General features: G+C 43.2%; 1 long non-coding RNA gene across 1 annotated transcript; it reads left to right on the forward strand.

The window, feature by feature from the left end:
- Positions 1–3942: 3942 nt before the first annotated feature.
- On the forward strand, positions 3943–6815 carry LOC105373164 (uncharacterized). The gene is made up of 3 exons (XR_949259.3): positions 3943–4049; positions 4554–4736; positions 6645–6815. It is a non-coding gene; the product is annotated as an uncharacterized LOC105373164 (long non-coding RNA).
- Positions 6816–11879: the final 5064 nt, after the last annotated feature.

The following is an 11879-nucleotide window of genomic DNA, read 5'->3' on the forward strand; positions in this document are numbered from 1 at the left end:
GATTCCAATGTATACTTTCATGTGAATGTGTTCTTGAAAAATAGGGTTTGTTGTTTTGTTGCATTTTTTCGATGTTAGGTGAATTTTTAATGTACACAAATGCTTTTGTGTTATGTATTTCTTACTTTCCACCCAATTGCACTTCTCATGATCCAATCATGTTGCTCTATATGCATGGAATTCACTATTTCTAATTGTTGATGGTACTCTATGAAATGCATTGAACACATTTTACCTTTCCAGTTTCTTGGAGATGAGCAACCAGGCTTCCTCATTACAAATGTGTAATTTGTGCAAGAAACATGCTTGCCCACATTTTCTTCTTACTTACAAAGAGACAAAATTATATACCTAATGAGTGGCAGAACAAAAAGTTTTATGCGGCTATAATTTATCACTGTAAAATGCTGCCTAGAATTGACATGAATACCAAAAATCATGTAAATATTACATATTAATTAGATAAATGTAAAGATAAAGCATTCTAAAACATGAAATGGGACAAACTAGACCCACACAGGCCTTGATCACAATGTAGAGATATGATTACTAACTCAGCCTAGAAGGACAGAGAGAAGGTGGCGTTTGGAAGGAAGAGCAGCAGGCAGGTAAACAGACAAGAAGAAAAGCAGTCCATGTGTCTGGAACTACATGTGCAAAAGTACACAGGTGAAGTAACAAGTGATAATATTTGATTAGAAATAAAACATTATTTACAATAGCACTTGAATAGTCAAACAAGTGTTTTTGATTTTTAATCAAATCTAGGAGTAAATCTAATGAAAGATGTGTAATAATTTTATGCTGAAAACTACAAACATTATTGAGAGGAGTTAATGAAGGCACAAATAAGTGTAGAGATATACTATGTTTATGAATTAGAAGGCTCAATATTTTAAAATGTTTATTCATTCTAAATTGATCTACAGTTTCAACTATCAATTCCAGCACCTTTTTTGTTGAAACAGAAAATTTAATTCTGAAATTTTAATGAAGATTCAGAGGCTCTAGAAATGCCAAAACTATCTCGACAAAGAAAAGTGTCAAAGAACTTACACTGCACGATTTCAAGGTTTCCTCTAAAGCACAGTAACCAAGACAGCATGGCATTGTTTAAGGATAAACACCCAGGTCAATGACAGAGTCTAGAAATAGAGTCTAGCAAACCGAGTCTAGAAATAGACCTATACTTTTATAGTCAACTGGTTTTTCACAAGGGCACCAAAGAAATTCAATGGTGAAAGGAAACTGGAACTACCTCAACCCCTGTCTTTAGCACCACACACACACACACACAGACACACACAGACACACACAGACACACACACACACACAATTTGGCTGACCCAAAGCCTGTATGAAAAAGCCAGAACTAAAAAGCTTCTAGAATAATATATGAGAGATTCTTTGCAAATTTGAGTTAATCAGAGATGCATGAGACAAGACACAGAAAGGACTAACCATAAAAGAAAAACAACTGGTAAATTGGACTTCACTACAATTAAAACTTCTGCCTATTCAAATATGCCATTAAGAAAATGAATAGACAAACCACAAACAGGGAAAACTATTTGTAAAGCACATACCTGAAAAAAATGTTTATATTCAGGATATGTTATTAATAAAATAATAAATTCAATTTTAAAATGAACAAAAGACTTAAGTAGGTACTTCACAAAAGAACATGTACAAATGAACAACAAACACGTGACAATATGCTCACATTATTAGTCATCAGGAAAATGCAAATTAAAGCCTCAATGAGATTCTACTATTCACACACTAGAATGGCTAAAATAAAAGAAAAAAACAGACAATACTAAATTTTAGTAATGATGTGGAACAACTGGAATTCTCATAGATGATGATGAAAAAGTCAAAAGGCATAACCACTTTGGAGAACTGTGTGATGGTTTCTAGTAAATTTAACCATACAACTACCTTGTGACCTAGCAATTCCACTCCTAGATATTTGCCCAAAATATATAAAAACAAGTGTCCACAAAAAGGCTAGCACAAAAATATTCGTAAGAGCCTTATCCCAAACTGGAAACAGATAATCCCAAACTGGAAACAGACCAAATGTTCATCAACAGAAGAATAGATTTTTACAATGTGGCATAGTCACACAATGAAATAAGCAAAATAATACATTCAGTTTGATCCCATTTATGAAGTTTATAAACAGACAAAACTAATCTGTGGCAATTGATGTCAGAAAATGGTTGCCTTGGGGTTGAAGGGTGGTAGACTGACTGAAAAGGTGCATGAGAGAACTTTCTAGAGTGGTAGAAATGTTCCGTGTTTTTGCCTTGCATACACAATTGTCAAAATTCTTTGAACTGATCACTTAAGATATTTTTATGTTTTTGTATGCTAATCACATTGAAAGGAAGAAAGGGAGGAAGGAAAGGAAAGGAAGGAAGGAAAAAGGGAGGGAGGGAGGAAAGAAGGAGGAAAGGAAAGAAGGGAAAAAGGAGAGAGGGAGGGAGGAAGAAAGGAAAGAAGGAAGGAAGGAAGGAAGAAAAAGAAAAGGAAGGAAGAGAAGAGAAAGAATGAAAGAAGGCAGGCAGGCATATGGTCTGGTCAGAGAATTTTGAGGAAATGCTTATGCCTAGAACATGGGTGCTATGTGGGAAAGGGGCAGGAAAGGAGGGTAGCCCCTGCTTATGCAGACCAAGCTGACTATGACTCTTTTTTTCTGTAGGCAGAAAGAGACCTGAGTAATTCTATGAAGGTGAATTGCATTCATGCCTTGGAAAGGCTATGTTGATGATAGATGAGATTTGGGGAGTTGGACATCTGCTGTGACCAGGGGGCTGTTACAGAAGGGAATTTGGAGATTCCAGTTGGTTACAGTGGCACATGCAATGTTATTTTTAACCTCCCTAACAGGAGGGACTGGCATTTCTCTGGTTGCTAGGGAAATTGTGTTCCGAGCGGTTACATATTGGTTCCTAATTTTAAAAGCCTTAGGGAAAACTAGAAAACTTTATGAGCCAGTACCAGTATGTTGTTCTAGGACTGTGCACCTGCTAAAACGTGGCTATTTTTCTCTTGATGTACTCTTGGATAACTGTCACCATAGCAACAACAACGCAGAACCCTGCTGGTTCATAGTGGAGGATTCCTGTTGGTTTAGTGATGGAGGCCAGTCTAGAAGCCCTTTCAGGATTGCAGCAAGATGTTGGATTAGGTGGGATACACTGGTAGCCACTGGATGCGCAAGGCACAGGGTGGGGAATGTGTGGGCAGAGGGTAATCCGCAGGAGAAACCTAGTTTCCACTGGGCATCATTACTATTGGGCAAATTCCCACATTCCCTCAGCATTAGGCTAAAGTTTAATGTGATATCCTATGGGTGGCACGAAGAGAAGAATCTCGAATTGCCCTCTGACTTTGGAGTCAGACCTTGGTCCAGTTAGCAGAGCACCAAGGTGTAGCCTGGGGGCTCTGGCTTCCCCATCATCTCCATCAGCACTGTTATCCAGCAAAAGGGACTCACTGCCCAATGTGCTGGAAACCAGTACTATGACACCAGGGTTTTAAAAAAAGAAAAGCTTTATGTCAAAAGTCAACTCACAAGGAGACAAGAGTCAAGCTCAAATCTGTTTCCCCAGGCTGGCTTCAAGGCAGTATTTTACTAGAAAACGTTCAGAGGGTGGATTCTGGGATCAGAAGGTGATTGGTGGACGGAAAGGGGAGGGCTGAAAAGTCTTGGGCATGCGCAGTTATGTCTCCATGCTACCTCATGGGTCCCATGTGCAAATTCAAAGGGAGTTAGAATGAAACCTGCAGTGGAAATTCAGGCTCTGACGTCAGCAACCTCGTTTTGCAAAAGCTCCAGTTGGCCACCTTGGTTCCAACTGATTTCAGCCGGCTTTTCTTGATCTCACAAGCAGAGAGAGTTTCAGTGTTTCAGCGAGTTGGTTTTTTTCTTATCTGCTACTCTGCAAACACAAGAATTTCTGTTAGCTACTAGTTTCTTACTCTTTGGAGCGCCGTTTCAGTTTCAGTTTTTCACCAAGTTGTTTCTTATCCGCTACCCTGTAAGCCCAAGAATTTAGTCATTGGTTTCTTTAACGGTTGGAGAAGGCAGGGTGTCAGCACCCATCTGCCCCAAGTAGTGGGGACAATTGACCTTAGTCTTATGTGAAGTGCGAATAAGATGCAGCTTAGCCCCCTCACTCCATAGACAATGCACTGGACTGTCTCTGCTACAGCCCAGGACTTCGTCTTGGCATCCCTGACCATTTCAACCCCCATTTTAGTGTTCTTTCCTCCTCACTGCCAGATAGCCATTTTAGGCAGCTTGTGGGTGTTTTTTAGAAGCGATGTGTGTGTGAGATGAAGGAGGCTTCCCTTTGTTTTGGCTTTAAACCCGTCTGTGTAAGTGAGAGTGAGTGGAAAGCTATGGCTCCTCTCTCCAACACTCCCAAGGCAGGCAGCCCTGACCTCCTCAATTGCAGATGAGAAGTGGGCCTTTGGAAATTATCCAGACCAGTGAATCTCACCATTTTTCTCCCCTGCCACATCATACATGATGGATGAAGTCCACATGCTTAACAGGATTCCATGCATGCACTTATTTTGATGAAACAGCCAAAAACATTCTGTGAGGAAATAATTGTCCTCAGGAAAGGGAATAATGGTTGCCTCGGCATGGGGTGGAGGCCCCTGAGTGTACTCTGCCATGAGACCCCTTCCTTCCCACTCAGGATGTATTTCGAATGCAGGTAAGTTAGTGTGAAATTATCTTGTAGTAACCTACAGTCAACTTAAATTCATTTTGCAACGTGAAATCACCCACAGATCTTCCTGATGATGGATAAATCACGGCGTTCCCAGTAGCTCCTCTTCACTTCCCCGCTGACACCTGCTGCCAGCCCTGCAATTCTTTGGAGCCCCCTAAGTTGACCATTCTGTCCTCAGCCTTCACAACACAACTTACCGCTGTAAAAGAGATGGAGGAGGGGCTCCCAGTAATCTCTAGATTTGTGCGGCATTGATTTGTAGGAATAGGAGGTTTTTGGTTTTGCACTCCACCCCTTCCCTTTAGAGTGTTGATTTTTGGCGCCCTCTTCAATATTTCTATCAGAAGAATCGAGAGGTGTGGACAACAGTTTCCGACACATTTCCCCCAGCATGTTCTAGAGAGCGTGAGGGAGAAAGGCAGAGACACACCCCTCAGCACAGGCTCTCACATCCCCTACAAAGCCCTCCACCAGATCTCAACACATCCGAAGGACAGGAGCTCTCCCTGGAACCACCCCCACATGGTCATTCTCTCAGGACATGGGAGGGGAGAGAGCTCTCCCTGGGGGAGGAGGATCAGAATCTTCTTCTAGCAGGAAGGTGGGGGCAGAGCGTTATGTGTAATAGAGACAGCACAGTCTGCTCCCTCCTGCCCCATAATTATCAGAGTCCTGCTCTAGGGACTAGCAGGGGTCAGCTCCAGAGTGACATTTTTTCCCCCTGTGCTCCCGTCTGGAAAACCGTAAAGTTCAGGATTATGCGGAGAATGTCAGCCAGGATAGTGCCCGGTGTAGAGTGGTTCCTTATAGAAGTTGAAGACTGCTAAGCTGGGCACAGGGGCTCACGCCTGTAATCCCAGCACTTTGGGAGGCTGAGGCAGGCAAATCACTTGAGGCCAGGAGTTGGAGAACAGCCTGGCCAACATGGTGAAACCCCACTTCTACTAAAAATACAACGACAACAAAAAATTAGCTGGGCGTGGTGGCAGCACCTGTAGTCCCAACTACTGGGGTGGCTGAGGCAGGAGAATTGCTTGAACTCGGGAGGTGGAGGTTGCAGTGAGCCAAGGTCGCACCACTGCACCCCAGCCTGGGTGACAGAGTGAGACTCTGTCTTACAAGAAATAAAAAAAGAAAGAAAGAAAGACTGTTAAGACTGTTAGCCATCCAGGGGGGAGGTGGAAAAGAACACTGCACTCCAGCCAAGATGACCCCGTGTTAGCTGTGACCCTGGAGGGATAATGTCATCAATGTGAATAGGACTAGTATATGTCCATCACCACCACCACCACCACCATCATCATCCTCCCCATTTTTCCTGGGAAGATCATCCCTGTGATCCTACAAGCCTGTCAGTGAAGATTCCCAGCAGTGGGGTTGGCCCAGAGCAGAACTTAACTTGAATTTGATGGATTTAAGCCAATGTCCCTCAAGTCCCATGCAGAAAGCATACCTTCATTTATTCTTTTGTGTTTTGCTTTGTTGTCCTCATCTTCCCAGAATTGAAATATCATGGGACCCTCTTCTCAGGGAAAGAAAGGGGGAAATTTGACTGCTGGAAAGAGTGAGAGGTGAGATCCCCTTCAGACTTTCCACTCCTGAACACTGCGTGGGCCTGATGAGACAGGCGCGTTTTGTTTGGATGCTAAATTAAATGGAGAGGAGACCTTATGATGTGAGTTTGGCAGAGGAATAAATCAAATAAAACAGTAAGGAAAGCAGTTAGCCAAACAAAATGGGCTTACAACCCTGGATATTAATGAGGCTTTTACTTTAAACGGGTATGTTTAATCAAGCAACGTGAATCCATATTGGGAGCGGGAGGAATTATGGTGATTGTTTTGGAATCCTGCCCAAAAGAGGTTTGACTGTGTTATCTTGTGCTAACAGGAGCACCCAGGGAGCAAGAGAAGCCCTGCGACAGCAGCAAGGGACACTGTGGGGCTGCAGGGTAAGTAACCCTCGTGCTCCCTCACTCTTCAAATGAGAGCCGGGGTCCTAGAATTGGATCCCAGACACCAGCATCCTGAGATCCATGAGATAAGGTGAGGTGGGGCTGGAAAGGCCTCAAGGGAGGAGAGGAGGCAGGAGAGGAGTGATAGGGATGCAGGCTCCAGGAGGAGGGAGATGCTTCAGCATCGTCCAGCACATAGCTGTCTATCCCCTTCTCGAAACGAGATGCTGATGGCAGGGTGAGAGGATTGCTGAGAGAGAGGAAAAAGGAGAGCACAAGGCTGTAAAAGCCATAATGCCTGGCCCTCCCCAGACCTATTCTCAGAGGACAACACTTAGGATTCTCAGTGACAACCCTTAGGATGCAGGGTGGGTCTTTTTACTTGTCACATGAGTGATGTAGACAGTAAGTGCTTACTGGCAGTGCTGTTTCAGGGGGGAAAATGCCTGAACAACTTCCTGGAATTTCCTTCTCAGAATAAGTATGCCAGATTGGCATTTTAGAATCTTGTCTTTGACAGTATGACACAAACAGATAAAACACAATGATGGAATCAAATAATAAAATATGCTATGAATATGCATTTTCCCTCACTCATGTAGTAATCGAAATGGTATTTTCTCGGGTGCTTTTTAAGAACTCTGCTAAATTGCATTCCATTTTTCCTGGGTGTGGCACCTGATGGTGAGCACTGGGAGGAACACGGGGAGAGTGGGCAGAGGTGGGAGCGGAGTCTAGCATCTATAGTTCTGACACCTGTCACTCACTTGCTGTGGGGGTGAGAGGGTTGGGAGAGTGGGTTTTACCACCAGAGAAGCTTTTTTTTAAAGTGTATCAGCCATTGACTTTTAGTATATTCACAGAGTTGAACAATTATCACCAAAACCAATTTTAGAACATTTTCATCATCTTCCAGAGAAACCCAATGTTCTAGAGCAACAGTTCCCCATTTTCCCTCAACACTGCCTTCTCCACCCTAGCCTAGCCCTAGGCAACCACTGATTGACTTTTTTTGTCTCTATAGACTTCTGGACATTTTGTATAAATGGAATCATAAAATAAGTGCCCTTTTGTGTGACTGGCTTCTTTTACTTAGCATAACATTTCCAAGCTTCCTATAATATATTTTTGCTTAGATGCATTCAGGAGGGATGGTCAGGGCAGACCTGAGAGACCTGAACACAGAGGGCCTTTGAGGGAAGCCGAGCTGAGCCTGGCAGTTGAACACAGAGCCTCAGAGAGACCCAATACTGATGGAATTGAGAGAGGGTGACATGGGAGTGGGTGTAAGGAAAGCCTCTGTAGAAGCAGGTACTGCAACAGGTGCTCTCAAAAGGACCTTCAGCCTGAGAAGTGTAAGAGTTTTAAAGAAAGAGGAAAGAAACACAAAATGTGGCTTGACAGTTAAAGACAGATTTATGTTAGAGAAAAATAAACCTGAGAGGGGCTTCTGGCCGATTTCGGTCAGGAGCACTCTCTCTTATAGACTAAAAGTATATATTGGTTTTAGAGTGAGAGGGCTTATCACAAGCTTGGAATATTTCTGTGTGAGGGAGAAGTTTTCTGGCAGGGCTAGAATGTCACCAGAAGGAGGGGAGGTTACCTTGGGGATGACATCTTTCTGGCTGGAGGGGGGTTATCTCAGGGATGGCATCTTCCCAGCCAGAGCAGGATGACCTCGGGACTAGCATGTCTCTGGGTGGGGAGGAATTTGAAATGTTTCTGGTTGGAGATGTTATTTATGGTTTAAGGTCGTGCTGACCTTAGCCATTAGGCTGATGTCCTTTGGATTTTGGTGGTTTTTGATTAAGGTGAACTTTAGAATGAGAGGCTTGTCCAAGATGGCGATCCTCCTGCTCTATCAAGAAGCAGCCCGGGAGGCAGGTGGGAGCCGTGTGGCTCCAGCTCAGGTGGTCTTTAAGAACAATCCGCTAGGGATTTTCATCTGCCAAATCACAGGGGCGGGGCTTGGTGGAATCTTAGATTTAAAAAGTCAAAATAGACTTTAAAAGATCATCCATTCCAACTACTTCATTTTACAGATGGGGAAACTGAGGCCCAGAATGACGAGAGTTCCTGTCTATGTTTGGAAGGACTAAAATAATGCGTTTAGTTCCCAATGAAACAGGGCAAAAATTGTTAACATCTGTGTGTTCTCCTTCCCCCCTCCCTAAGACAGAGAAGGTGGCAGCTCAGCCCTCACTGTGTCCTGGCCCATGACCCCCTAATTCACCAAAGGGGCTTGCAGTGGTTTATTAAAATGGCTGCATGTCCTCTGGCACTCTCTTCATGGAGAAGCGGGGTCTATGTGCCTTCTCTTGGAGTTGGATGGGCCTGTGCTGGTTTTCATCCATGGTCAGAACATGCTGTGGAAGCCCAGGCTCCCCAGGAAGTCCCTGTCTTGGTGGCCCTGTCAACAGCCTCCACTGAGCTGAGCTTTTCAGTCTACCCAGCCTGGGTGCCAGATGTGGGGAAGTTTCCAGCAGGGAAGCCTTCAGCCCCAGCCAATGAATTCTTCCCAGCTGAGGCCCAGACATCGGGGAGCAGAGACAAGCCATCCTCATGCCCTGTGTCAACCTGAAATAAGTGAAAGGATTGGAATCAGCTTTAAAGAGTTTATTCAAGTAAAAAGCTGGGAATGACCATTCAGAAAACAAGGATTCCACAGAAATGGAGTTAGTGCTCTGAAGTGAAAAGTTAAGGTCTGGCTTATATAGGAGGAAAATAAAGAAATTTAACAGGATTAAAACATTTTCTATACAAGCCTGGTTTATGGGTTCTAACAATTTGATAGTTTGTTTTCTTTTCTGTATGGCTTGCTTTCATTTGCTTTCCAATTTAAAAGAGTATATTTAACATAGTCACAAAGTCTTCGTGTGGAAAATGTAAGAGGGATGTTAATCTATAATAAAGACCAACACTAAGAGGGAAGGAGTCTTCCCTGGCACCCTTTAATCATTTGCAACATTTCACAAAACAGTGTAGGTAAGGAAGAAGGCTAATCTATAATCAGAGAGACCAAGTTTACAGCTGCCTGTCACGTGACTCAGGTTTCATAAGCACATTCCTTTGAGGCTGAAAGCAATTTAAAGTTCCAACAGCTGAGATTTTTAATTATTTATTTCACACCTGTTTACATTCCAAACTCACAGCATCAGTGAGCATTAGGAACAGGTGTTTGGCAACACTGTATTTTGGGGTGATGTGCTACACAGCAATAATAACTGGGATAGGCCTCAAGGTGCAGCTACTTGGGCAATAAAAGTATAAATTGGCTCAAAGTTTTTGGAGGTAGAGGGAATTTTGGTGGTACTTTGAAGAATCACAGGTAAATTCTACATACAAAGGTGTTAATGAACAAGAGAAGAAAGGAGTTACTTTGAGCCCTTGCCCTAAGTAAGAGCTTTGCAGATATTATATAATTTGGTTATTCTCACGGCCTCATAATATAGGATGATTCTACAGAAGAGGAAACTGACTCTCAGGAAGATTAAGTCCCAGCCTCCCAAGTTTGCACAGTAACAGCTGGCTGAGCCCAGACGCAAACCTGGGCCTGACAATGGCAAGGCTCTCATTGTCTGCCCTGCGAAGCTGCCTGCCTGTTTGATTGACTCTGTTTTCGTTTTCCCTTGTATTTATGTTTGAGGAACTGGAAACAACCTAAATGCCTAAGAATATGTGATGGTATACCACTTTGTTTTTAAATTTTAACTTTTATTTTAGATACAGGAGGTACATGTGCAGATTTGTTACATGGGAATATTGCATGATGCTGAGGTTTGGAGTATAGATCCCATCACCCCAGTAGTAAGCAAAGTACCTGATAGGTATTGTTTTTAACCCATCCCCCCTCCCTCCATTCTCTAGTAGTCCACGGTATCTATTTTTCCCATATTGTCCATGGTATACCACTTGCATGATACAAGGCAGCTGTGCTGTGAAAGATAAATATGAAGACCTTGAGACAAAAAAAAAAATGGAATACGGAAGAGTGTTGATGAAAAAAGCAGAACACAGAATTCTACATAGGCCTCTGTGTGTAAAGAAAGAGAAACACATAAACCATTGCTTTTGTGTGAAGAGTAGCTCTTGGTTGGTGTTTTGGGCTCAACTGTGTTCCCCAAAAATACACATACTGAGGCCCTGACCCCCAGCTCCTCAGAGTATTTGGAGATAGGGTCTTTAAAGAGAAAATTAAGTGAAAAATGACGTCAGCAGAGTGGGCCCTAATCCAATATTACTGGTGTCCTTACAAGAAGAAGAGATTAGGACACAGACACACACAGAGGGAAGCCCATGTGAAGACACAGGGAGAAGACGGTCATCTGCAAGCCCAGGAGAGAGGCCTCAGAGGAAACCAACTCTGCCAACACCTTGATCTTGGACTTCCAGCCTCCAGGACTGTGAGAAAATAAATGTCTGTCATTTAAGCCACCAGTCCTTGGTACTTGGTTATGGCAGCCCTAGCAATATAATACAGTTAGATTATCTAATTAGCCGGGGTGCAGTGGCTCACATCTATAATCCCAGCATGTTGGGAGGCCAAGGTGGGAGGATCACTTGAGGCCAAGAGTTCAAGAATTGTATCATAGAATTGTTTTAATCATTTAGATTTAAATTGAGCCAGGAATTGTTAATGCCCTCAACCTCAGTGATGACCATTTTTCATAACCTTACTGCAAAGAGTGGTCAATGGCCTCTAAGGCATTAGAATAATATTATTGTTTATGAACTCACTTGGGCAGCCTAGAAGCCACAGGGGGTTAAATCCAGCAGTCTTTGAAAAATAATACAAGAAAGGCTACTTGCTATCACAAGTACTTTATTATTTCGTCTTCTGAAAATCTGCAGAGCATATGTGTGAAATTTTCTCTCTATTTAGGGTGTTGTTTCTTCCAAAGGCTCAGCTGCTCTCCTTTAGCTGGTGGGGAGGCAGGGAGGAGGAGGGAATCCACCCAGCCCTAACTGTGCTGTGATTTATTTCTCTTCTAATCACCTTCCCCCATGGCCTCAGGCTGTGTGTGTTGCATGAAATCAGCCTCATAAGAGGTCCCAATTTTAGGTTCCCTTCACCCAGGGGGGATGTAAATATTTGATTAATTTTACTGTCCCATTCCATCTGGGCTTAATTCCTCTAAGCACCCAGTTTCCTGTGTGGCCATAGGCACAGA

This window comes from Homo sapiens, chromosome 1, assembly GCF_000001405.40.
Source record: "Homo sapiens chromosome 1, GRCh38.p14 Primary Assembly".
NCBI lineage: Eukaryota > Metazoa > Chordata > Mammalia > Primates > Hominidae > Homo > Homo sapiens.